Source organism: Homo sapiens, chromosome 4 (assembly GCF_000001405.40).
Source record: "Homo sapiens chromosome 4, GRCh38.p14 Primary Assembly".
In the NCBI taxonomy this organism is placed as follows: domain Eukaryota; kingdom Metazoa; phylum Chordata; class Mammalia; order Primates; family Hominidae; genus Homo; species Homo sapiens.
The window spans coordinates 186,606,709-186,632,994 of record NC_000004.12 but is presented as its reverse complement, the minus strand read 5'-3'; the positions used below and the strand labels follow the sequence as shown (position 1 = coordinate 186,632,994).

Below are 26,286 nucleotides of genomic sequence, written 5' to 3'. Positions count from 1 at the left end.
TGTTACATGCCAGGCACCATTCTGGAAGGTGAATAGTAGGAAACAGAAGAGGCAACAATCTTGCCCTCTTGGAGCTTACACTGGGATGGCAGAAGCTAAAGGCTTGTTTATAATCTACTGTGGCCTAAATGAAAAAGAAAGAAGTTAAATGTCAGAGAACAAGGTGCATCTGAGTTTGAAATTTTCTAGCGTTAGATTATCCTGTTTTAAGTACTAAGCAAGACAGATCATCTGCTAACTCATTTAGCTGCATTAAAAGATAAAAATTATAGTCGGTGATGTCTTTTCGATTAATAAATGGGTAGATAATTTAAAGCCATTTACAAAAATATTTCTTTCTCCAAATGCTTGTGATTTTTAGTGTATATAAAATTGATACATGTATGTTATATGCTTTTGGGGTCATTTTGAGATTGTCTTGTAAAAGTTCTAGTATGGTGTCAAAATTTCAATTTAGTTGGTAGCTGTTCTCATTCTAGAGACAAGCAAAATCTATTGATTTTCTCTCTTTAAACATAAGCCCTTGTAAAATTTTAGAGCACAAAAATGAGAATAAAAACATCATAAATTGTAATAAATCTAATAGGATAATTCTGAGAGAAGGATTTAAGGGGTATAACTGTAGACCAATTCACAGAATCGACTACCCAGAAATCTAACAAAAGGAGCTTCATAAACAGTGGAGCTGTCCCTCTTTGCCAAGCATTCTCATTACTAAAGACCCTACGTCTATGAATAATTAACAGTGCACCTCTTTCCCAATAATTATATTTTTAATTAGTGCAGTTAAAAGTTTAGCATGAAATATCACGTGCACCAACTAAAATCCCTATAAAACCCAGGAAGTGTATTCTAGTTTTCTTTCTTGGAAACACAAAATATCTTAAATTTCATTGCTTCCTTTATACTTCTGTAACTTATTTTTGGGCCATTGTCATAGGCTGTAGATGCTATCCTAATCGCTGGCAGAGAAAGGCAGTCGGACTATAAGAGAACAGTAGCCCAGGTTGACCTGTTAAGGTGTGGGACAAAGGGAATGATTTGTGTTTAGATTATTTTTCCTCTTTAGCTGAGAACCTGGAAATATGAATTTGGGTGGGGGCGGGAGGGGGGTGCAGCAGCTGCCACCTGGAGAAGAGCACAGGAATCAGCTGGACAGTGAGAGGCACCAGGATACAGCGGGGATGGATTGAAAAGCAGAGGGATCAGCTGGGCGGCGAGACACTAGGATACTGTGGGGATGGATTGAAAAGCAGAGGAGTCACCTGGGCAGTGAGACACTAGGATACCGCGGGGATGGATTGAAGAGCAGAGGAGTCAGCTGGGCGGCGAGAGACTAGGATACCGCAGGAATGGGTTGAAGAGCACAGGAGTCAGCTGGGAGGTGAGACACTAGGGTACTGCAGGGATGGATTGAAGAGCAGAGGGATCAGCTGGGCAGTGAGACACTAGCATACCGCGGGGATTGATTGAAGAGCACAGGAATCAGCTGGGAGGCGAGACACTACGATACCATGGGGATGGATTGAAGAGCAGAGGAGTCACCTGGACGGTGAGACACTAGGATACCGCGGGGATGGATTGAAGAGCAGAGCAGTCAGCTGGGCAGTGAGACACTAGGATACCGCGGGGATGGATTGAAGAGCAGAGGAGTCAGCTGGGCAGTGAGACACTAGGATACCGCGGGGATGGATTGAAGAGCAGAGGGATCAGCTGGGAGATGAGACACTAGGATACTGCGGGGATGGATTGAAGAGCAGAGGGGTCAGCTGGGAGGTGAGACACTAGGATACCTCGGGGATGGATTGGGGCTTGGAAGTAACACTCAGAAGTCAACAGAGCAGCCATTGTGTATCCAGGTCAGGGGCAGCAGATGCCGATTTGAGAAGGTTTAGGTGAGCCGTTGGTGAGTCAAGCGGGCAGCCTCCAGCAGAGGTAGGCGGCAGGACAGTGGGAGAACTGCCAGTGCCCTGCGGAAACAGCTCTTCTCTGGCTTTCCTGTCCTGCGTGTGTGGCTTAGGATGCTGACCGCCATTGATTCCAGTCACTTGGCTTTATCTTGTATCTCCAGGTAACTTACCAAATCCAGTTACCTTTTTTTTCTTTCATTCAAACAACTTTGCTTTCATATCTTCTTTAACTTTCTCTCGAGCATCAGCATCGTGGCCTCTGGAGCAGATCACTTGGTTTGAATCCCGGCTCCACCTCTTGTACTCCTTTCCATGGGCAAATAGCTGTAACTCTCTGTGTGTCCATGTTCTCATCTACAAAGTGGGGGTGGTGATAATCGTCCTTTTGGAGGTCTTAGGAAGGTTGATGAGGTGACCCGCAGGGTGCTTGTTCTTCACGTTCTGAGAGCCTGTCACCCAGTAAGCACGCAGAAAGCCATAGTCTTGTTGCACATCAGCACTGGTTTGGGCTCTTGTCCCACCAACACTCAATTCACCTTCCAGTCGCCATTCTTCATCCCTGCCACTCATGTTGGAAGCGAGTTTCTTCTGACCAAAAGGAGCTGTGTAGTCCTCCCACATCAGTTCTGGAGTCGAGGCTCTGCGTATTTGACTCTGCCTTCTTCTTGCTCCTTTACTGTATCACCCCTGAGTTCCAAGTCCTCTCCAGCCTCTGAAAGGCAGGATGTTCCGTCCCACTGCTTGCCTTCATGTCGTTGACGCAGCCCTTCCTCATACTTACTCACCTGCCAACCAAAAATGTACCCAAGAAAGCATTATCTCCTTAAGAGCTTTCTGAATATCTCAGCCAGTCTCTGGACTCTTAAAAACTTTACATGATAATATATGAGACATGGTTAGGCTGTGCATGTGCAGAACATTGCCTGGTAAGCCTGGTGGCTCTATGAGGGCAGAGACCATTGCATGCTGATTTCACACCCAGGCAAGCATTGGGCATGGAAACGCACAATCCGTGTGTTTCAATTGAATTGCTTTGACTTCCAGTTCTTTCTACTTAATAATGCTTGAGCTTGGAGCAGGATTAAACTTCTCTGCTCAGTACCCACTACATGGGAAAAGTAATTTTTAAATTTATAGTGGAAATGAATATGTAATCTAATCTATGGTAATTGCCTTTATAGCCATCCCTTCTGGATCATCATTGACCTGTAAAAGTGAGGCATCTGTAGTTTTAAAGGTTTACATAGCTTTCACATGCAACCTTTCCGTGGTTTGGTGGATGCATCTGGAATTCATACAAAATGTAATGTTACGTTTTATTTAACTAAAACATCCTTGATATTTTGGTCTTCTGTGAGAACACTGATGTAGCCCTCATGGAAGGAAGGCCTCTGTTCATGGCCTGCACCATGTGGTTGACCGCTCTGCCTGGGACCCTGGCCCCCTGTGCTGCTTGGACCAGCAGATCCCTTTGTTCCATATGCCCCCACGAAGCGCAGTTTTCTTCTTCTTAAACTCTAAAGCATGTTTTATAATTGGCAGTGATTTCCGCTGTGCCAAATCCATACGTCTTTTCATTATGGAAATTAATCCTCTTACTGTCAAAGTTTTGTTTGTTTCTAATTTAGCTTAGTACCAAGTTTCTTAACATTTGCTTTTTTCCTCTAAAGGTTTTTACTTTATGTAGACATAGTTAAGAGAGTTTATTTTTTCAATCTATTGACTAAATTGGTTTTAGGGAGTAAACATATTTACTACATAGATGTAGGTTTATGATCACAGAAATACAGTGATTTCTAAACACATTTCTTATTTTTTCTTTTTACGTATTAAAAAAACCTATGATCAGGGGCTTGGGATGTCAAAGATGAGAATGAGAAATTTGGATAGTGTAATCATCTGTCTTACCTCAGTGGGTTGGTAGTTGCAGATACAAATCTGATTTAAGAAATTAGTCTTCTATAAATCCTGGTAAATTGTTATCCGTACATGAGTGACCTACAGATACCTTCTCTGTGGAGGCGTAAGAGAAGTTAAGCCCACGTAAAGACGTGGCAAGTGTGAAAATCAATACATATTTTGTCCCAGAGTTAGTTATAAGAATGCAGAAAGGTCATCATTATCTTACTCATATTTAGATAAGTAATATACCAATGAGAAATGTTTTAAGAAATGTATGATTCTAGGTTTTTGTTGCCTTTCTCGTATTTTATTTTGCCACAGTATCGTTTCAATATACATGACTTTCGTTCATGGTTCTTTAAGTATTAAAACATTCATAATTGGAAATATTGTATGAGTCATTTTGTCATCCATTACAGGTATTCATCAAAGTAATAGACACAAATGACCATCGTCCTCAGTTTTCTACATCAAAGTATGAAGTTGTTATTCCTGAAGATACAGCGCCAGAAACAGAAATTTTGCAAATCAGTGCTGTGGATCAGGATGAGAAAAACAAACTAATCTACACTCTGCAGAGCAGTAGAGATCCACTGAGTCTCAAGAAATTTCGTCTTGATCCTGCAACCGGCTCTCTCTATACTTCTGAGAAACTGGATCATGAAGCTGTTCACCAGCACACCCTCACGGTCATGGTAGGCGCTCTACCCGCTCTCCTCCCACCATTTGGTCCTGAGGCCTTTGTGTGTTCGAGCGTGATTTTTAATTAGTTATAAGGAAAGCACCAATGGGATTGATAATGTGTCAATTCTTTTTAGGTACGAGATCAAGATGTGCCTGTAAAACGCAACTTTGCAAGGATTGTGGTCAATGTCAGCGACACGAATGACCACGCCCCGTGGTTCACCGCTTCCTCCTACAAAGGGCGGGTTTATGAATCGGCAGCCGTTGGCTCAGTTGTGTTGCAGGTGACGGCTCTGGACAAGGACAAAGGGAAAAATGCTGAAGTGCTGTACTCGATCGAGTCAGGTACTTTTGGAGCCTTCAGTGGCATTTTAAATTTGCAGTTGTTAAAAGTCTGTTTCTACTTTTCCAAAATCAGTTCTGGGTATTGAAGCATTTCTATGTATCTGCAAAAATGGCTTAAATTGATCTCTAGATACAATTTTACATGTTAGGAGAAAGGAATTTTTTTTTTTTTAACTTTTAGCCCATCAGAGAGTTTGGGGGAAGTTCTGGGGGATTCACAATATTAGCCCAGTTCAAGGCTCTGAGAAGCCACGTAGTAGAGGAAACTTTATTTGACCAATTCAGTATTTCTGAAATTATTTTAACCACAGTTTCTTCTGTAACATTGGTTAAATTAAACACACTTAGGAAGCTGCTTGCCTAGTAATTTAACGTTTCACTTTTTTGTCAGAGAGTATTTTCTCTTGAGCAGAGCAGGAAGCTCCATAACAGTGTTGACTCATCTCATTGTAATTGGCTGAAACCTCAGAAAGAGGTGTCGTGCCCCTCCCACCCCTTCCACATTTACCTGGATTTTTGCCACTCGCCTTTAACAGGTGGATTTCCCTCATGGAATTGGGTTGAGGACTAGACCCCAGAGCTGGGGCCTGCTGGGGTGGGGCTTGAGGCAGCAAGGGCAGCAAAAAAAACAGCTGGAGCTGCGGTCCTGGACGGTTCCGGGACCCAGAGGCCAAGAGATCCAGAGTCGGGATAACAAGGGGGACCACCAGGAAGCAGTCCTGGCATAGCAGGATGTTTTTGGTCTGTTTTCCACTGCCATTCCCTCATTCATTCATTCATTCTGTGGGCTGATGAAGCTCGTTTTATGTGTCAGGTGCCATGTTGGTCACTCATTCATTCATTCTGTCGGCTGATGAAGCTCGCTTTATGTGCCAGGTGCCATGTTGGTCCCTCATTCATTCATTCATTCATTCATTCTGTGGGCTGGTGAAGCTCACTTTATGTGCCAGGTGCCATGTTGGTCCCTCATTCATTCATTCATTCATTCATTCTGTGGGCTGGTGAAGCTCACTTTATGTGCCAGGTGCCATGTTGGTCCCTCATTCATTCATTCATTCATTCATTCATTCTGTGGGCTGGTGAAGCTCACTTTATGTGTCAGGTGCCATGTTGGTCCCTCATTCATTCATTCATTCATTCATTCTGTGGGCTGATGAAGCTCGCTTTATGTGCCAGGTGCCATGTTGGTCCCTCATTCATTCATTCATTCATTCATTCTGTGGGCTGGTGAAGCTCACTTTATGTGCCAGGTGCCATGTTGGTCCCTCATTCATTCATTCATTCATTCATTCTGTGGGCTGGTGAAGCTCACTTTATGTGCCAGGTGCCATGTTGGTCCCTCATTCATTCATTCATTCATTCATTCTGTGGGCTGGTGAAGCTCACTTTATGTGTCAGGTGCCATGTTGGTCCCTCATTCATTCATTCATTCATTCTGTGGGCTGATGAAGCTCACTTTATGTGCGAGGTGCCATGTTGGTCCCTCATTCATTCATTCATTCATTCTGTGGGCTGGTGAAGCTCACTTTATGTGCCAGGTGCCATGTTGGTCCCTCATTCATTCATTCATGCATTCATTCTGTGGGCTGGTGAAGCTCACTTTATGTGCCAGGTGCCATGTTGGTCCCTCATTCATTCATTCATTCATTCTGTAGGCTGATGAAGCTCAGTTTATGTGCGAGGTGCCATGTTGGTCCCTCATTCATTCATTCATTCATTCTGTAGGCTGATGAAGCTCGCTTTATGTGCCAGGTGCCATGTTGGTCCCTCATTCATTCATTCATTCATTCTGTAGGCTGATGAAGCTCACTTTATGTGCCAGGTGCCATGTTGGTCCCTCATTCATTCATTCATTCATTCTGTAGGCTGATGAAGCTCACTTTATGTGCCAGGTGCCATGTTGGTCCCTCATTCATTCATTCATTCATTCTGTAGGCTGATGAAGCTCAGTTTATGTGCGAGGTGCCATGTTGGTCCCTCATTCATTCATTCATTCATTCTGTAGGCTGATGAAGCTCGCTTTATGTGCCAGGTGCCATGTTGGTCCCTCATTCATTCATTCATTCATTCTGTAGGCTGATGAAGCTCGCTTTATGTGCCAGGTGCCATGTTGGTCCCTCATTCATTCATTCATTCATTCTGTAGGCTGATGAAGCTCACTTTATGTGCCAGGTGCCATGTTGGTCCCTCATTCATTCATTCATTCTGTGGGCTGGTGAAGCTCACTTTATGTGCCAGGTGCCATGTTGGGAGTGTTCCTCCTGGGCATGGTACGTAGGCGTTGCCATTGGGTCCACAATGCGTGTCTTGTAAAAGTTCCACCCCGATAGAAACAGGGCTCTGCTTTAGAGCATACAGTCTGTACAATCAGAAGTCACGTTGCTTTAGGATGTTCCTGCTCATGCCAGATCCTCTGAAAGTGATGAAATGTTGGGAAGACAGTTTACAGTTTTCTGTTTTCTTCAGTGCCATTGTTAGTACAAGGAATATAGTCCCTTTCAGTCTTCTTCATAATGAGTTTAGAGAATTAAAATATTCCATTTAACTTGTTTTCTTTTTTAAGTCTGTAGCTCTACATATTTAGAAATTGTCTCTCCTAGGCATTAGAATTGGTACAGGTATAGATTAATTATAGATCATGTAATAAAAATTTGAGGAAATGGAGAGTAATTTTAAAAAACTTACTGATGTGTTCTAGGTGGTTAAACTATGTTTATTTAACATATTTGAAATTTCATTTGTTTCCCTTAAAACAACCAAATCGAGTTCATTAGTCACAAATAAGATCTCATACACTGCCTGTGATTGCAGTGTTAAAATGTAGTGTAGTTAGTGCCTTGAGTAAAGATGAAGTTTTTTTCCACTGGTTGAGAAATTTGCAGTTAGAAAAACAGTGCATTCCATTTGTGCATGCCTGCGTACTTCAATAAAGTAATTCTGTCATAGACAAACTGACTGGGTTTATGTAGGAGAAAATGTTAAACTTCCCCTTAGCTTTCACATAATTGTCAACAACTGGGTGGTTAAAATATGATTGTTGGTGTCTGAGTAGAAGCATGTGCATTCTTTGAATGCTTCTAATGACTGACAGGATTAGGAATCTGGTATTCAGAGAATGGAACTCCCTCCTCCATGAATAGATAATACCAATGGCCTATTCTGGCATAGAATTAGGACTTTTAAGATGCTATTTTTATAGTTTTGGTAATATAAAAATTATGCTCAGCAGTTACTTTGTAGGAGACCACTACCATTAAAATGCAGTAGAATTTTGTGGAAGGGGTGTGTGCATGTGTTGGAGATGGAGGTGGACATCTGTTGGAATAGTACGAACTATAAAATGTTCATACAAATGCCTTTCATTTAAGTTTATTCATAATTATCTGCTTCTAATTTGTGTCAGATTACATTTAAAGTTCAAAAAGACTAGTTACAAATTCAGTACGTAACACTGCATGTTTAATTAGCAGCAATTAATTGAGTAAAAGGTTTGGTCTGATTAGGAGTATTCAGGGAAAAAGGAGTTAATTAAGAGATATTTTCAGTAACCATTGAGTTATATGCTGGAGACATGTCAGTGCCATACTCTGGTCTGTGTGTTTTCTTCTTACATCTTTTTAAAAAAGTAGATTATTAGAGCACTACTTCTAAACCATTTTAATACCTGGAAATAGAAGATACTCCATAAATAAATATACTTATTGATTAGAATTGGTTTTCCTCCCCAAACTTAAGTAATTGCCTTGAGAGTCAACGGAGGGTGCCACTCTGCCAGTCAGTGGGGCCCCAGCTGAACATCCAGTGTGTGTCTACAGGGGAAGAAACAGACTCCCCTTCACAGTTCTGTGTAATATACTTAATAGCTTAAGAGTAAAAATTAGCCTGTTTGTCTAGATAATTGCCCTGTTCCCATACAGGGAACAATTTAAAGTTGTTTAAAAATCACTCATATTGTAGCTAAAGTCAGTGAATAAGCCCCCAGCCTCGTACAGACCTTTTCTGCCACCTTAGGAAGTCGTTCAACAGCACCAGTGCATCTCAGTGTCTGTGAATGAACCTGTTGTTAGGCCAGGCAGGGGCACTTTCTACCACTCAGCAGCCCTCATTGTTTCTTCACATAAACACGATGCTGCTTTCCCACCTGCAAATCTGATGATTTCTGCCTTAATCTATATGGATGTGGGATTCATGTATCCCATCACGAGCTGGGTTCCTGTTTAACCTTGTTATCAGTGACATGCTCCAAGCTGTGTTCACCAGAGTCATGATGCCCCAGATAATAGAGGATGTTTCTGAATCTTGCATGGCCGATAAAGAGCAAGGTTGTAATCCATGCTGTAAAGAAAACACAGGGCGATGAGACAGAAACAGTAAGAATAGCGGGAGGAGACTCTTCCAGGAGAGGATGCATCAGACACTGGGGCTCTGAGATGAGTGTGCTCTCCTGATTGAGGACAAAGAGAATGCCCACTTGGCTGGAGGGCAGGGAGCAAGTTTTGCAGAAAGCAGTGTGTTCTAGCAGCACCAGCCTCCTCCACAGCAGATAGTCTCTTCGTTCCTCCACATGAGGCCTTGCATATTTGAAGCTTCATCGGCAAGATAAGATTATCCTGTACAATAAGAGAGAAGTGGATATAGAAGAATGAATATAAAATATGGTAGGTCAGCTGGTGAGTACAGACATAGGGAAGTCTGAGGGGCAGGGATGAAGAGAGTCACCATGGCTGCCCCAGTCTCCTGTGTCAGGCCAGGCAGTCAGTCACAATTTTAGACAGTGAGGGTGATGTACAGGTGGGATGAGAAAAGGATCTTGGCGTTCTGACGACGGCCAAAAATGCAATCAGGAAGGACCTGGGATCACTGACTCATAAGTACAGACAGGCCGGAAATTAGTGTCTCAAAAGCCTGGCAGAGGCAGCAGGACCCAGTTCTCGGCCAGGGTTCAGCTCAGAGCGTCAGGGCCTAGAGAAACCCTGGGCCTCCACCCTGTTGCAGACTGAGGCACTGCCTTGGGGCTCGGATGCAGAGCCAGTAAGACTTAATGAAAAGCAGGCTGGATCTGGTCTCTAAAAAATGGCCGTGGATTTTTGGAAAATGTATGAAAGGAAGGAAGTGAAGACTGTAGAGGAAGTGTTTCCTGTTAATGATGTGGAGAACAAAGTGCTTGGTGAATCCCTGGTGTGCAGCTCACACTGAGCAGTTCTGGTCTGTGAAATGCCACACTCGTGGCAAACCTAGAGCAAGAATCTGAGAAAGCAGTTAAGTGGCAAGTGAGCTTTGTTTTGGGTAAGTATAATAGTTCATTTGGGGAAAATAAATTCTGTGCTATGACAGGGATGGTGAATTCTGGGTGCTTGTTCATGAAACAGAAAAAGGATGGGCTCGTGGATGGATTAAACCTGAGAACCTGCAACGCCACCCTGATTTATCCAAAAGGGCTGTAGAGAACTGCTTGTTTCTTTGAAGATTCAGTCGATGATACAAAATTATACAATATTCTGGAGTTGTGGTTGCAGCTAAAGATACATACAGTATAGCCTGAAAAGGTCCAAAGAAAAGGAGGTAAAACACTCTATCTTTGAGCAGCCTCTCAGCTTCAGCACTGCTGACATTTGGAACCAGATATTTTTGGTTGTGTAGGGCTGTCCTGTGCGTTGTAGGATGCTTAGCAACACCCCTGGTCTCCACCCACGAGACGCCAGGAGCACCCTCTTCCGACAAGTAGTGACAACCAAAAATGTCTGCAGGCATTACCAGATGTCTCCTAGGGAGCAGAATTGCCCCCAGGGGAAAACCACTGACCTAGAGGATAAGTTGACCTGAAAAAGATAAGAAGGGAATGTTGTTGCAATCTTCAAAACCTGTAAAGTGGGGTGGGTTACACACATTTATCCATGGACAATTGTCTCTTGAAGCTTGATGTCAATTTCTTACTGAATCGAAATCTTTCGTAATGAATACATATCTTAAGAATTTGTAAGTCATAACCGTTGAAAATACAAATGTGGTCCAGAAGTGTTTTGAGGGACTCCTGGAAAGTGACTCACTCAACTGCTTTGTGGAAGGATAGCCTTGTCTTTCCACCACACATTCCCAGTGCAGCCGAGAGAGGGAGTTTTGGCTTCGCTAAGAGCAGAGTGCTGTTTCTTCTGTTTTTTGTTTTTCATCATTTATGGACAAAATTCTGTAAAGTATACCTGGTTTTAGGTGGATAAAAATAAAACAAGTTGAAGGTTCCATTCAAATATTGACATCCCCTGAGTTTCTGCTTAATTTCAGAATATAATTTTTAAGGATACTTTGTTTCTGTTTCTCTAACTACTACTACTACTGCCCCTTGTGTTTTTCTGTAACATGTATTTTTTCCTCTCCTTCCAGGAAATATTGGAAATTCTTTTATGATTGATCCTGTCTTGGGCTCTATTAAAACTGCCAAAGAATTAGATCGAAGTAACCAAGCGGAGTATGATTTAATGGTAAAAGCTACAGATAAGGGCAGTCCACCAATGAGTGAAATAACTTCTGTGCGTATCTTTGTCACAATTGCTGACAACGCCTCTCCGAAGTTTACATCAAAAGAATATTCTGTTGAACTTAGTGAAACTGTCAGCATTGGGAGTTTCGTTGGGATGGTTACAGCCCATAGTCAATCATCAGTGGTGTATGAAATAAAAGATGGAAATACAGGTGATGCTTTTGATATTAATCCACATTCTGGAACTATCATCACTCAGAAAGCCCTGGACTTTGAAACTTTGCCCATTTACACATTGATAATACAAGGAACTAACATGGCTGGTTTGTCCACTAATACAACGGTTCTAGTTCACTTGCAGGATGAGAATGACAACGCGCCAGTTTTTATGCAGGCAGAATATACAGGACTCATTAGTGAATCAGCCTCAATTAACAGCGTGGTCCTAACAGACAGGAATGTCCCACTGGTGATTCGAGCAGCTGATGCTGATAAAGACTCAAATGCTTTGCTTGTATATCACATTGTTGAACCATCTGTACACACATATTTTGCTATTGATTCTAGCACTGGTGCTATTCATACAGTACTAAGTCTGGACTATGAAGAAACAAGTATTTTTCACTTTACCGTCCAAGTGCATGACATGGGAACCCCACGTTTATTTGCTGAGTATGCAGCGAATGTAACAGTACATGTAATTGACATTAATGACTGCCCCCCTGTGTTTGCCAAGCCATTATATGAAGCATCTCTTTTGTTACCAACATACAAAGGAGTAAAAGTCATCACAGTAAATGCTACAGATGCTGATTCAAGTGCATTCTCACAGTTGATTTACTCCATCACCGAAGGCAACATCGGGGAGAAGTTTTCTATGGACTACAAGACTGGTGCTCTCACTGTCCAAAACACAACTCAGTTAAGAAGCCGCTACGAGCTAACCGTTAGAGCTTCCGATGGCAGATTTGCCGGCCTTACCTCTGTCAAAATTAATGTGAAAGAAAGCAAAGAAAGTCACCTAAAGTTTACCCAGGATGTCTACTCTGCGGTAGTGAAAGAGAATTCCACCGAGGCCGAAACATTAGCTGTCATTACTGCTATTGGGAATCCAATCAATGAGCCTTTGTTTTATCACATCCTCAACCCAGATCGCAGATTTAAAATAAGCCGCACTTCAGGAGTTCTGTCAACCACTGGCACGCCCTTCGATCGTGAGCAGCAGGAGGCGTTTGATGTGGTTGTAGAAGTGACAGAGGAACATAAGCCTTCTGCAGTGGCCCACGTTGTCGTGAAGGTCATTGTAGAAGACCAAAATGATAATGCGCCGGTGTTTGTCAACCTTCCCTACTACGCCGTTGTTAAAGTGGACACTGAGGTGGGCCATGTCATTCGCTATGTCACTGCTGTAGACAGAGACAGTGGCAGAAACGGGGAAGTGCATTACTACCTCAAGGAACATCATGAACACTTTCAAATTGGACCCTTGGGTGAAATTTCACTGAAAAAGCAATTTGAGCTTGACACCTTAAATAAAGAATATCTTGTTACAGTGGTTGCAAAAGATGGAGGGAACCCGGCCTTTTCAGCGGAAGTTATCGTTCCGATCACTGTCATGAATAAAGCCATGCCTGTGTTTGAAAAACCTTTCTACAGTGCAGAGATTGCAGAGAGCATCCAGGTGCACAGCCCTGTGGTCCACGTGCAGGCTAACAGCCCGGAAGGCCTGAAAGTGTTCTACAGCATCACAGACGGAGACCCTTTCAGCCAGTTCACTATTAACTTCAATACTGGAGTTATCAATGTCATAGCTCCTCTGGACTTTGAGGCCCACCCGGCATATAAGCTGAGCATACGCGCAACTGACTCCTTGACGGGCGCTCATGCTGAAGTATTTGTGGACATCATAGTAGACGACATCAATGATAACCCTCCTGTGTTTGCTCAGCAGTCTTATGCGGTGACCCTGTCTGAGGCATCTGTAATTGGAACGTCTGTTGTTCAAGTTAGAGCCACCGATTCTGATTCAGAACCAAATAGAGGAATCTCATACCAGATGTTTGGGAATCACAGCAAGAGTCATGATCATTTTCATGTAGACAGCAGCACTGGCCTCATCTCACTACTCAGAACCCTGGATTACGAGCAGTCCCGGCAGCACACGATTTTTGTGAGGGCAGTTGATGGTGGTATGCCCACGCTGAGCAGTGATGTGATTGTCACGGTGGACGTTACCGACCTCAATGATAATCCACCACTCTTTGAACAACAGATTTATGAAGCCAGAATTAGCGAGCACGCCCCTCATGGGCATTTCGTGACCTGTGTAAAAGCCTATGATGCAGACAGTTCAGACATAGACAAGTTGCAGTATTCCATTCTGTCTGGCAATGATCATAAACATTTTGTCATTGACAGTGCAACAGGGATTATCACCCTCTCAAACCTGCACCGGCACGCCCTGAAGCCATTTTACAGTCTTAACCTGTCAGTGTCTGATGGAGTTTTTAGAAGTTCCACCCAGGTTCATGTAACTGTAATTGGAGGCAATTTGCACAGTCCTGCTTTCCTTCAGAACGAATATGAAGTGGAACTAGCTGAAAACGCTCCCCTACATACCCTGGTGATGGAGGTGAAAACTACGGATGGGGATTCTGGTATTTATGGTCACGTTACTTACCATATTGTAAATGACTTTGCCAAAGACAGATTTTACATAAATGAGAGAGGACAGATATTTACTTTGGAAAAACTTGATCGAGAAACCCCGGCGGAGAAAGTGATCTCAGTCCGTTTAATGGCTAAGGATGCTGGAGGAAAAGTTGCTTTCTGCACCGTGAATGTCATCCTTACAGATGACAATGACAATGCACCACAATTTCGAGCAACCAAATACGAAGTGAATATCGGGTCCAGTGCTGCTAAAGGGACTTCAGTCGTTAAAGTTCTTGCAAGTGATGCCGATGAGGGCTCCAATGCCGACATCACCTATGCCATTGAAGCAGACTCTGAAAGTGTAAAAGAGAATTTGGAAATTAACAAACTGTCCGGCGTAATCACTACAAAGGAGAGCCTCATTGGCTTGGAAAATGAATTCTTCACTTTCTTTGTTAGAGCTGTGGATAATGGGTCTCCATCAAAAGAATCTGTTGTTCTTGTCTATGTTAAAATCCTTCCACCGGAAATGCAGCTTCCAAAATTTTCAGAACCTTTCTATACCTTTACAGTGTCAGAGGACGTGCCTATTGGAACAGAGATAGATCTCATCCGAGCAGAACATAGTGGGACTGTTCTTTACAGCCTGGTCAAAGGGAATACTCCAGAAAGCAATAGGGATGAGTCCTTTGTGATTGACAGACAGAGCGGGAGACTGAAGTTGGAGAAGAGTCTTGATCATGAGACAACTAAGTGGTATCAGTTTTCCATACTGGCCAGGTGCACTCAAGATGACCATGAGATGGTGGCTTCTGTAGATGTTAGTATCCAAGTGAAAGATGCAAATGACAACAGCCCGGTCTTTGAATCTAGTCCATATGAGGCATTCATTGTTGAAAACCTGCCAGGGGGAAGTAGAGTAATTCAGATCAGGGCATCTGATGCTGACTCAGGAACCAACGGCCAAGTTATGTATAGCCTGGATCAGTCACAAAGTGTGGAAGTCATTGAATCCTTTGCCATTAACATGGAAACAGGCTGGATTACAACTTTAAAGGAACTTGACCATGAAAAGAGAGACAATTACCAGATTAAAGTGGTTGCATCAGATCATGGTGAAAAGATCCAGCTATCCTCCACAGCCATTGTGGATGTTACCGTCACCGATGTCAACGATAGTCCACCACGATTCACGGCCGAGATCTATAAAGGGACTGTGAGTGAGGATGACCCCCAAGGTGGGGTGATTGCCATCTTAAGTACCACGGATGCTGATTCTGAAGAGATCAACAGACAAGTTACATATTTCATAACAGGTAAAAAAAATTCATACCAAACGGTTTAATTAATTTAAAATGATTTTTAGAAGCATAAAGTATAAGATCTGTATTGTATGGAAATTGGGGATTTAAGGGATGATTTTAGTTAAAAATATCTAAAATAATACGTAGAAATAACATCTGTTGAGCCTCATTTCAAGCTTGTTACCTGAGCAAAGCTACCAGTTGTTTCATTAGACTGTTTTTGATTTTTGTGACTCATTCTTTTGAACCTTATACTTAGTGTATAATAAATATAATTAAAAACATCTATAGTTTTAATGCAGGCTAAATGATTAGTAGTCTTAATGCTATGTTTATGCATTTTAATGCTGCCCTTGTTTTTGTAAATTGGAAGGCTAATATATGCCAAATTAATTCTTTTAATACTCAATTCTTTTAAACTATAACATTATACATCTTTTGTACAGTTTATTTTTTCTGTTACTTATTTTTATCCTTTCAACAAATTTGATTATTATCTTCCTCCATTGATTTAATAGGAGGGGATCCTTTAGGACAGTTTGCCGTTGAAACTATACAGAATGAATGGAAGGTATATGTGAAGAAACCTCTAGACAGGGAAAAAAGGGACAATTACCTTCTTACTATCACGGCAACTGATGGCACCTTCTCATCAAAAGCGATAGTTGAAGTGAAAGTTCTGGATGCAAATGACAACAGTCCAGTTTGTGAAAAGGTAAGCAGCTCTTCCCTTACATTTGTGTGTTATGAATTTCAATTTCTTAATTCTTTCAATGGGACCATCATTTGGCGCTGTGGTGTAATTCACATGTGTTTTATGATCACTTACTGATTAAGCAGAGGTGTTAAATGGGGTAAGACTTGGAAAAGCTTCAGAACTATTTGCGGGAATGCTCAATAAATCAAAAGCCTCATTCTAGAAAACTAAATTACGGACAGGACTCCAGTTGCATCCAACACTGAAAATGCTCTGTAACCTTTTCATGAGGGGATTCTCTTAATATGGGGATACAGCTGTTTTGGGGGAAGGATCTGACGGGAAACAAAGTGCCGACGTGCCGTGAGACACTGTTTTGGGGGCATCTGCTCTTCTGCACGCTGGAGAAGCTCAGAGGTGGACAGCGTGCTTCCTGCATCTGCGCGGCTCACCATTCAGTGGGAACTAAAAGTAGACGTAGGAAGGGCTGCTCCCTCCAAGGTTAGATGAGGGCATGTGGCTCGAGCAGGGGTGGTCCCTGGGGCCAGAGGGTGAGAAGGGCTGCCCAGAGAAAGGGCTGGCTCAGCTTCGGGGGGCAGTAAGTGGGTCGTCAGGAGTGGGTGGGGAGGGGCCATGGAGTGTGAGGAGGGATTGTGGGAGTAGCCACTGAGTTTGCCAGAAGTGGGGAGTCTGCACTGAGAGTCTTGGAAAAGGGTGAACTGGATTACAGTGGGCAGTGGCGGTCGTTCCAAGGGATTTGAACTCGATCCTAGAGAAAATAGGGACTTTGGAGCCTTTTATATCGGTAAGGTAGAGATGACATGAGACGAGTTCTTAAGCTTAGTTTGGAAGCATCGTGCCCATTATTTAGACAGGGAGGAGTGGATGCAAGGGGGCCCTGGAAAGGCAGAGGTGGGGAAGGAGTGAAAGGACCAAAGCCACCACCGAGGAAGACCATCTGGTGTGACAGCCAGCCAGCATGCCATCGAGCCCGACTTTCTACATGAGTAGGGGGAGCGACCAAGGCCGTGGCAAAGAGGAGTCTGAGCCGGGGGCTGGTTTTAGAGGAGTTCCGTGTTGAGTTCCAATTCCAGTTTGCTAAAGTAATGAGACATACAGTTGACCATGTTTTTTAGACATTGAGAGATGGCGAGATGTTGGATGGGTATTAGGGAAAGGTGTGGAAACTTGGCGTTGTCTCTGGATAGCTGAAAATTGACTTCATTTGAGAGGATACTAACAAAAGGGAAAAAGAAGAGAGAGCTATTTCCAAAGGGAGAAGGGAGCTGAGCTGGAAGGAAGAGGAGGACACCAGTGCAGTGCCAACCTGGGTTGGGGAGAAGAGGACTTTGGGGAGGCAGGGTGGCGAGTGGAGCTGGGATGTTTGGGATGCGAAACAGACCATTTGGGTCCCGTGATGCTGTGTAGGTGGCGGTCTTGGTAGCAGGACGTGGATGGATGCCTGATGGCAGATCAGAGAGTGAAGTGATGAAGAAATAGACCTGCCCAGGGAAGAAGGCTGAGAGTGACAGGGAGGAGGAATGTGCTGGGCCAGGAGAAGGCTGGGTAGAGAGGAATGTGATTGTGAAGAGGATGGAGGAGTTGGAACCCACCACAGGTTCTGTGAGTCTGAGATGCTTGTGGCTGTGGAAAGTGATAGGGCTGTTCTCAGGGAAAGACTTAAGATGGAAGAACCCTTATATTCAGTCATGAGGGGAAGGGGAACTTCTGAGGGATGAGGAGTTAATTCCAGTTCTTATTTGTACTTTATATTTTCAGAAGGGGTGCGACATTCTCTCTCTCTTACAGCAACTGTCTTTGGTTGTTTTTTAGCCCTTTGATATTATTTCAGTACAATACTCTATCATCTTCAGGAATAAGACTGGGACACTAGATCCTTTAAATTCATCCTATTATGAAATACCCTTTTTCCTGAGTCCTTTTTCATGGAGTACTTTTCCGTGAGTACTTCACTGGTAGTTGAGTTCAGATTAAGAAAATCAACAGAATCTTAATCTTTTTGTCTTAGGTTTTAATTTATGGCATGGATTTCTAAATAATTGGAACTGGAAACAAGTGTTCACCGTGTTTGAGCATGAGGGCAGATGTGAGGAGAGAGGGCACCAGGATCACGCAGGGCAGTAGAAGGGCCTCAGCCTTCATCAGAGTCCCTTCTGTGGCCTTCGAGAATCTTCGTTTTCTCCCATAACATGAAACTTGCTTCTCTCTCAACTGCAGTTATTTATGTTAGGAACATTTGCAAAAAATAAATTCCTGTATTTGGAAATGAGCAGATATGATACGACAGATATTTATTCTCTGCAGTTTTTAGGTAAATACGGAGCACTACTTACATTTTTGATTAGTACTTACGTTTTCTCATAAGGATTTGAATATGAAATCAGCTTAATAACATATAATAGCATTTTGTAGGTTAAATGTCAGGCCAGGCTCTTTCAGGGATGTGGAGCTGGTGGCTGCTCCACGGCTCCTCCTTGTTTCACATGTGTTTTATGTTTTATGAGAAAAATCGTTTTCAAAGCTCTTGGGATTTTATCTTTAGTCATTTCCCATGTTTTCTGTGGTCAAAGATGAATGATTTCTTTTCCATTATTCCCTTGATGTTTGTGCTGCCTGTTAATGCTTTTATGTAACGTTTTTGTTTAAACTCTTTGCAGACTTTATATTCAGACACTATTCCTGAAGACGTCCTTCCTGGAAAATTGATCATGCAGATCTCTGCTACAGACGCAGACATCCGCTCTAACGCTGAAATTACTTACACGTTATTGGGTTCAGGTGCAGAAAAATTCAAACTAAATCCAGACACAGGTAATGATGGAGTTTGGGACAAAATAAATTGTATATTCCAACAGTATCATATATGTGGGTGATTTTAGATCACACACAAAATTTGAAATTACATTTTGCCCTTTTCAAATGTATTCTGATGCTCCGAAGTTGACATCTCTTAGAAATCTTACCAGCAATTTAGTGCGTAAAATTCAAGGTGAGATTTTTTAAAAAACAGCAAGAATATCACCTAATTGAAAAAAGGATTTAAAATTTAGAAGGCGTTTATACCACTTGTTTAAAAAAAACAACCCTCAGAAATTAAAATATAACTCAAGCTTTCTGCTTTTTATCCATTTTATTTAAATAGCATATTTTCTTGAATTGGTGACCATAAATTTATAACTTAGCATAATTTAGAATTTTCATAAACAAAATGATTTATGGGATTTTATTTATTTTAAAATAGAGTTGTTTTCCTTTTGTATTTTGGTAAAATTGGGATCAACTAAGTTTCCTGTTAAGCCTTTTTATTTTCTTCCTAAAGAACTAATTGTGAACATGTGAATCTAATTTTTGAGTCAATTTAAACATTTTTTAAATTTTGGTAAATTTGGTAGCTGTTTCACCTGTGCAATCTTATACACAAGGTGAGAGGCCCTGGCCTCAGACCTGCAGGACTTAAAGAGCTAGCCCCTGGCAGGGTTGGAGACCTGGAGCTCACTGCCTCTTGCAGCTGTTGAATCTGTCATTGATAATACTGGTCTCAAGAGGAAGGCTGTGAATACTCAGACTAAGTAATTGAAAGACAAAAGGGGAGGAAATAAGATGTACAACTGCAAGTCACGTCTTAAATTACAAGTGAGTCCATTTGTTTTTGTTTGTAGGTGAACTGAAAACGTCAACCCCCCTTGATCGTGAGGAGCAAGCTGTTTATCATCTTCTCGTCAGGGCCACAGATGGAGGAGGAAGATTCTGCCAAGCCAGTATTGTGCTCACGCTAGAAGATGTGAACGATAACGCCCCCGAATTCTCTGCCGATCCTTATGCCATCACCGTGTTTGAAAACACAGAGCCGGGAACGCTGCTGACAAGAGTGCAGGCCACAGATGCCGACGCAGGTATCTCCCGGGAATGCTCTTGCCTGACGCTGCTCACTGAGATCCTAGGAGCCTCTGTTTCAAAACACACCCCAGATTCAGCCTGTGCCACTCACTCCACCTCATGCATGTTCCATAGCCCTTCCTTGTGGAAGGAAATCTTTAGAATAATTAATTAATTTTTAATGAATATTTAAAGTTCCAAAGTTGTGCCCAGTGAACCTACTGCTGTGAGGTCTCTAAAATTCTGGTTACTGAATATTAACTGATCTTCACATCCCATTGAATTAATCAGTGATGTGTTATTTTGTCAATAAACCATTGAGGACAGAGAGAGCTTTTAGCCTCATTGCAACATAATGGAAGCAAATGCTTTATGATAGGTTTACAAACCTTTCAAAATTTTTTTAGAGAAAATTGGACTATAGAATGTATATTTGTAGCATTTGATAGCAGAGAATAACTTCTTCAGTCATACCACAGGTTGAGTATTCCTTATTTATTATAGTTGGAACTAGAAGTATTTTTGGATTTTTGGATATTTTTCAGATTTTGGAATATTTGCATTATGTACTTATCAGTTGAGTATCCCAACTCCAAAAATCTGAAATCCGAAATGCTCCAATGAGCATTTTTTTTTAAAGCATCGGTTCTGCACTCATAAAGTTAATAGATTTTGGAGCATTTCAAATTTCAGATTTTCAGTTTAGGGATACTCATGCTGTGATTCTGAGAAGTTTCAGAAGAATAGCAAAAGTGTTGCTTTTCAGATCTTTGTCACCAAAGCTCAATGATAAACAGATGTGATTTGTAAAGGTTTGTTAGGTACTGTATTATTGGCTCCTATACGAAATAGTCTAAGAAGCCAGATTCCCATGAAATTATATTTACATTTGTTTTAACAGAGTAAGTTGTTTACCTTTTAAAGGTCATAGTCATACAAATTTGCGAATAATGTATATTAGCGTTTACCCTTCTAAAAAAATTTTGTTTGGTTTTTAAAAAAAAAAAAAAAAGCGTTGGCCGGGTGCGGTGGCTCACGCCTGGGATCCTGGCACTTTGGGAGGCCGAGGCGGGTGGATCACGAGGTCAGGAGTTCAAGACCAGCCTGGCCAACATGGAGAAACCCCGTCTCTAATAAAAATACAAAAATTACAGTGTGTCTGTAACCCCAGCCACTCGGGAGGCTGAGGCAGGAGAATTGCTTGAACCTGGGGGACAGAGGTTGCAGTGAGCCAAGATCACGCCACTGCACTCCAGCCTGGGCGACAGAGGGAGACTCCATCTCAAAAAAAAAAAAAAGTGTTAAACTTTTTTATTTAAAATCTTTTGACATGTTTTTATGTCTTCATAGGATTAAATCGGAAGATTTTATACTCACTGATTGACTCTGCTGATGGGCAGTTCTCCATTAACGAATTATCTGGAATTATTCAGTTAGAAAAACCTTTGGACAGAGAACTCCAGGCAGTATACACCCTCTCTTTGAAAGCTGTGGATCAAGGCTTGCCAAGGAGGCTGACTGCCACTGGCACTGTGATTGTATCAGTTCTTGACATAAATGACAACCCCCCTGTGTTTGAGTACCGTGAATATGGTGCCACCGTGTCTGAGGACATTCTTGTTGGAACTGAAGTTCTTCAAGTGTATGCAGCAAGTCGGGATATTGAAGCAAATGCAGAAATCACCTACTCAATAATAAGTGGAAATGAACATGGGAAATTCAGCATAGATTCTAAAACAGGTAACCTACCATGTATCTGAGAGGAAACCCTTCATTCCACCAAGAAAACTAGATTTGCTTAACCACGTTGCCTTGTATTAAGTGACCCTGTGTTGTCAGTAGATGTTCTAAAAAAGGCAAATCAAGTTTTCTTTTAGTTATTTACAGTGGGATTGAATGTTGTTTGGAAGGCTTCAGATTATAGTTCTACTTAATACATTTTGGGCATGTTCATTATAAAATACAAGCAAATTAACTTAAAATAGAAAATCAAAGCAGCATGTTCTATTAGTTTAGTTGAGATGTAAGGTATAGCAAGTTAGTAAAGATAAGAATAGGGGATAGTAGAGGTCCTTATGTAATCAGACTCATGGATGGTAACTTCCCAAGTGAAATAGTAATTCCAGTCTTTTTTATTTTAGTTTCTGTAGTGGGCTTCTGATAATATATTAAGTTGACTTCGTTATCATGCTAGTTGTCTATAACAGTTGGAGTACTTTGAATCACAGTTAGGGAAAGACCGCCAACAAGCTCAAAAGGCATAGGAACTGCTGACTCCTGCTGCGTGAATGCTTCATCATCTTGCTAACCTGTGGCCTAAAATAGTCCTAAGTCTTAAAACAGTGTAGAAAGTTGCTCCATTCAAATTTATATTTATATAAATTATATAAATTTATATTTATATAAATTATATAAATTTATATTTATATAAATTATATAATTTATATTTATATAAATTATATAATTTATATTTATATAAATTATATAAATTATATAATTTATATTTATATAATTTATATAAATTTATATTTATATAATTTATATTTATAATAAAATTATTTTTAGGGCTCTTTAGGACTAGAATGATGTGAAAGATGTTAAAAGGAATTGTTTAAAAAGGGATTTTTAAAAATGAGAGGATGTAAATAAAGGGTTATCTAGAAGTTAAAAGGATATAAATCTCCATTTTAAAAATATGAGAAGGAAAATATTTTAAAAAGATGAGACAAAAAATGAAACCGAAAGACACAATAGAATTTTTACGTTTTTATTTTGTTGATTAAATTAGAGTGAAGTCGAGTGAGCTATGGTATGGAAGGGATGATACAATCATCATGTTTATAATAAGCAGGGATGTAGGTGGTGTTGACTGGAAAAGCAATTTAAATATCATGAAGAATATCATGAAAATTAAGAGAAATAAAGATCCAGGGATGGGCAGATTCATAGTTTTTAATTGTTGAATTAAGAAAATAGGAAACATACGTAAATGGTAAGTAAACTTTTGAAGTGAAAACTAAATGTACTCAAAAGCATTCATCTATTTCAGTCATAGTGGGAAAATGTGGTGGCATTGCAGAATGCTGGAAGTAATTTTGATTTCTATTCAGGGGCCGTATTTATCATTGAGAATCTGGATTATGAGAGCTCTCATGAGTATTACCTAACAGTAGAGGCCACTGATGGAGGCACGCCTTCACTGAGCGACGTTGCCACTGTGAACGTTAATGTAACAGATATCAACGATAATACCCCTGTGTTCAGCCAAGACACCTACACGACAGTCATCAGTGAAGATGCCGTTCTTGAGCAGTCTGTCATCACGGTGTGTATTTTTTCCCCATTACAGTGAAAACTGTGTATCTTCTGGATCTTTGCAAAAGTTTTTAGTAAAATCAATCTAGTTTTTGTAGCGGCCTTTGTAAATATTTTGGAGATTTGAAAGTGTCTTTTGTTAGGCCAACTGATTGCTGACTTTGTTATGAATAATTGTGTTAAAACAGCTAAGCTAACCCTGTCTCTACTAAAAATACAAAAAAAAATTAGCCAGGCGTGGTGGCGGGCGCCTGTAGTCCCAGCTACTCGGGAGGCTGAGACAGGTGAATGGTGTGAACCCAGGAGGCGGAGCTTGCAGTGAGCCGAGATTGTGCCACTGCACTCCAGCCTGAGTGACAGAGCAAGGCTCCATCTCAAAAAAAAAACAACAACAAAAAGAAACAGCTAAGCTATTAATATCACAAATTTTGTGTAATAGGTTTAGGCCTCTTCTTAGCTGTCTCCTAAACAGGAGTGTGGTGTGTTCTAGGTTATGGCCGATGATGCCGATGGACCTTCCAACAGCCACATCCACTACTCAATTATAGATGGCAACCAAGGAAGCTCGTTCACAATTGACCCCGTCAGGGGAGAAGTCAAAGTGACCAAACTTCTCGACCGAGAAACGGTAAGTGAAAAAGGTTGATTTACGTTGTTTACAAATCACCACATCAATAACTAGAAATGCCTTGTGCTCTTGTCTGCTGGGCGTGGTGTGAGCAGGACTGACCGCCTCAAGAACTGACGGCAACATGTAAACACTCGAAAAGCAATGACACTATGAAGATCTCAATGTGAGAAATGTGTTCCATGCTAGGATAAAGTTTGGATAATAAAGCTTTGCATTCAGGAAGGAATTACTGTTGGTTCCAGTGTTCTGAGACACTTCCTAAAGCTAGAAGCTGGGTTTTAAATAATAGCAGAGGTTTGGAAAATCATAGAGGTTGAGAGAAGGGAATTTCCAGCGAGGAATTGCATGGACACAGGCATGCAGATAGAAGCCAAGAAATATATTTAGGGGACTTTACCCAGTTGTATTGGAGTAATCATAAGAAGAAAGCAGAGTGAGATAAAATAGGAAGGTATTTTACACACAGGTTATTGGCCACATAGAAAACCAGGACCAGAGGTTTGGACCTGATGCCTCAGGCACTAGGGTATGAGCATTTGTGAGCTGAGGAAGGTCAGTTGCTCCCCTCTATCTGCAGATTCTGCATTCGTGAAGTCAACTCAACATGGATCGAAAAGTATTAGAAAAGAAAAAATGTCGGGTGTGGTGGCCTCCTCCGATAGTCTCAGCTACATGGGAGGCATAGGTGGGAGAATTCACTGAGCCCAGGAGTTGAAGACCAGCCTGGGCAACATAGTGAGACCCTGCCTCCAGAAAAAGAAAGAAAAACAATAAAAAATAACAATACAACAACAAAAAAAATACAACCCCGACCCGCAGTATAACAACCATTTACATTGCATTGATACTGTATTAGGTACTATAATCTAGAGATGACTTAAAGTGTTTGGGAGGATGTGTATAGGTTATATGCAAATACTACACCATTTTATATCAAGGACTTGAGCACCAGTGGATTTTGGTGTCTATGAATACCAAATGAAGAAACTATTTGCAAAGGAAAAATTAGAATCCACAAAGCTTAGATATGGCTCCGTGTAGAAAGCATTGGTGTCAGAGGCAGCCTGATTTTTTGGTCTTGCTTTGACTGGGTAGTACCATTAAAGAAAAGTTATGAGGTATAAACGTGTAAGGGATGGGAGAGGCTAATGAATGTGGTTTTCAATATGCTGGTTTTTAAAGGGAAATAGCATATTCAGGCAGAATTACTCAGCCAGTATTTGGAGATTTTAGTCAGATTTAGAGACTGGAAAACCCTAAGTGTAGATATGGTACTTGCCGTTGGAGATGTTGATAGAAGTGACATGAGGGATTGAGATAAATATGAACAAATAAGGAGAGGCAGCAAGGCTGAACATCCACCCACCCACTTATCCAGTATCCATCCACCCATTTATCCAGTCATCCATCCATTCATCCATCCAGTTATCCATCCACCCATGCATCTCCCCACTCACCTACCCACCCATTCACCTACCCATCCATCCACCCACCGACCTGTCCACCCACCCATCTATCTAGTTATCTATTCACTCACCCATCTACATATCTATTCACTTACCCATCCATCCACCCCACCCATCCATCTATCCAGTCATGTGTCCATCCACCCACCACCCATCTATCCAGTTATCCATCCATCCACCTACCCACCTGTCCATCTAGTTATCCATCTACCCATCTATGTGGTTACCCATTTGCTCACCCACCCACCCACCCATGTATCCACTTACCCATTCATTCACCCATCTATACAGTTATTCATTCACCCATTTATCCATCCACCTATCTATCCAGTTACCCATCCACCCATCTATGCATCCATCCATTCATCCATCCATTCACTCATCTGTGCAGACTTATGTCCAGGAAGGGAAGCTGAGCAGGAACTACCTCAGAGAGGTAGGCCTGTGAAGGAGAACCAAAAGAAGCCTTCGATTTGGGAATGAGAAGGACACTGGTGATGATTAAGAATGAAATTTCAGAAGAATAATGGGTGTATCTAAGATTAAAGGAATTTGGGGGGAGATAGTGATGAGATACCTCATTAAATTCTTTAATTTCTCCTTTGATGTGTGAATGTTGAGAAGGGACTTTCTAAGGATTTGGGAAGCATGCTTAGGATTGCCCCCACTGTGGGGCAGAATAAATTTAGTATCTTTGACTAAAGAACCCAGATCCTTTAATACACTTCTGTCCATTGTGAGATACCAAAGGAGCTAGCCTGTGGTATTTCCCAAGCTAATGCGCCAGCAGAATTCTTTTTCATTGGAGCGTCTTGCAGGACTAACGTTCTGTAGAACATACTCTGGGATCTAGCCAGCTTTCTGGCTTCTCCCACAACTCATTCTAGAAGACAGAGCTTTATAGGGAACTGCCCTGAAAAAGAAGCTATCTCACTTGACTTTCTTTCTTTTGTGGGAGGTCCTGACAAGCTAATCCTGAGGGATTTAGACAGCTGAGTATAATCC

At 41.6% G+C, this 26,286-nt stretch overlaps 1 protein-coding gene and 1 long non-coding RNA gene across 5 annotated transcripts in view, besides 4 other annotated features; both read left to right on the top strand.

Moving 5' to 3' along the window:
- The window catches only part of FAT1 (FAT atypical cadherin 1), a 138,903-nt gene that overhangs the window by 93,702 nt on the left and 18,915 nt on the right, over window positions 1-26,286 (top strand). For all 4 annotated transcript variants that reach the window (NM_001440455.1, NM_001440456.1, NM_005245.4 and 1 more), the window contains exons 8-16: window positions 4,232-4,507; window positions 4,631-4,841; window positions 11,220-15,287; window positions 15,794-15,990; window positions 18,651-18,804; window positions 19,653-19,886; window positions 21,220-21,609; window positions 22,980-23,194; window positions 23,675-23,812. In NM_001440455.1, coding sequence (NP_001427384.1) covers window positions 4,232-4,507; window positions 4,631-4,841; window positions 11,220-15,287; window positions 15,794-15,990; window positions 18,651-18,804; window positions 19,653-19,886; window positions 21,220-21,609; window positions 22,980-23,194; window positions 23,675-23,812 — 5,883 coding nt within the window. The remainder of the gene's footprint in view (window positions 1-4,231; window positions 4,508-4,630; window positions 4,842-11,219; window positions 15,288-15,793; window positions 15,991-18,650; window positions 18,805-19,652; window positions 19,887-21,219; window positions 21,610-22,979; window positions 23,195-23,674; window positions 23,813-26,286) is intronic.
- Window positions 4,848-7,788, top strand: LOC107986334 (uncharacterized). Its single transcript, XR_002959825.2, has 2 exons — window positions 4,848-5,943; window positions 6,310-7,788. It is a non-coding gene; the product is annotated as an uncharacterized LOC107986334 (long non-coding RNA).
- Window positions 10,698-10,867: an enhancer, noted in NCBI's record as "experimental_76856 CRE fragment used in MPRA reporter constructs". NCBI's record gives its function as "activates a minimal promoter by MPRAs in K562 erythroleukemia cells, with activity observed for the non-introgressed 4:187543367 variant allele {active_cell/tissue: K562}" and the evidence as "EXISTENCE:reporter gene assay evidence [ECO:0000049][PMID:34662402]".
- Window positions 11,125-11,294: an enhancer, noted in NCBI's record as "experimental_76848 CRE fragment used in MPRA reporter constructs". NCBI's record gives its function as "activates a minimal promoter by MPRAs in K562 erythroleukemia cells, with activity observed for both the introgressed and non-introgressed 4:187542940 or rs77370153 variant alleles {active_cell/tissue: K562}" and the evidence as "EXISTENCE:reporter gene assay evidence [ECO:0000049][PMID:34662402]".
- Window position 11,209: a transcriptional cis regulatory region, noted in NCBI's record as "Neanderthal adaptively introgressed variant 4:187542940 (GRCh37/hg19 assembly coordinates) or rs77370153 in the experimental_76848 CRE". NCBI's record gives its function as "modulates activity of the experimental_76848 enhancer by MPRAs in K562 erythroleukemia cells {active_cell/tissue: K562}" and the evidence as "EXISTENCE:reporter gene assay evidence [ECO:0000049][PMID:34662402]".
- Window positions 14,748-15,947: an enhancer, noted in NCBI's record as "BRD4-independent group 4 enhancer chr4:187538202-187539401 (GRCh37/hg19 assembly coordinates)". NCBI's record gives its function as "activates an origin of replication core promoter dependent on BRD2, P300/CBP, MED14 and CDK7 cofactors, and independent of BRD4, by STARR-seq in HCT116 cells {active_cell/tissue: HCT116}" and the evidence as "EXISTENCE:reporter gene assay evidence [ECO:0000049][PMID:35650434]".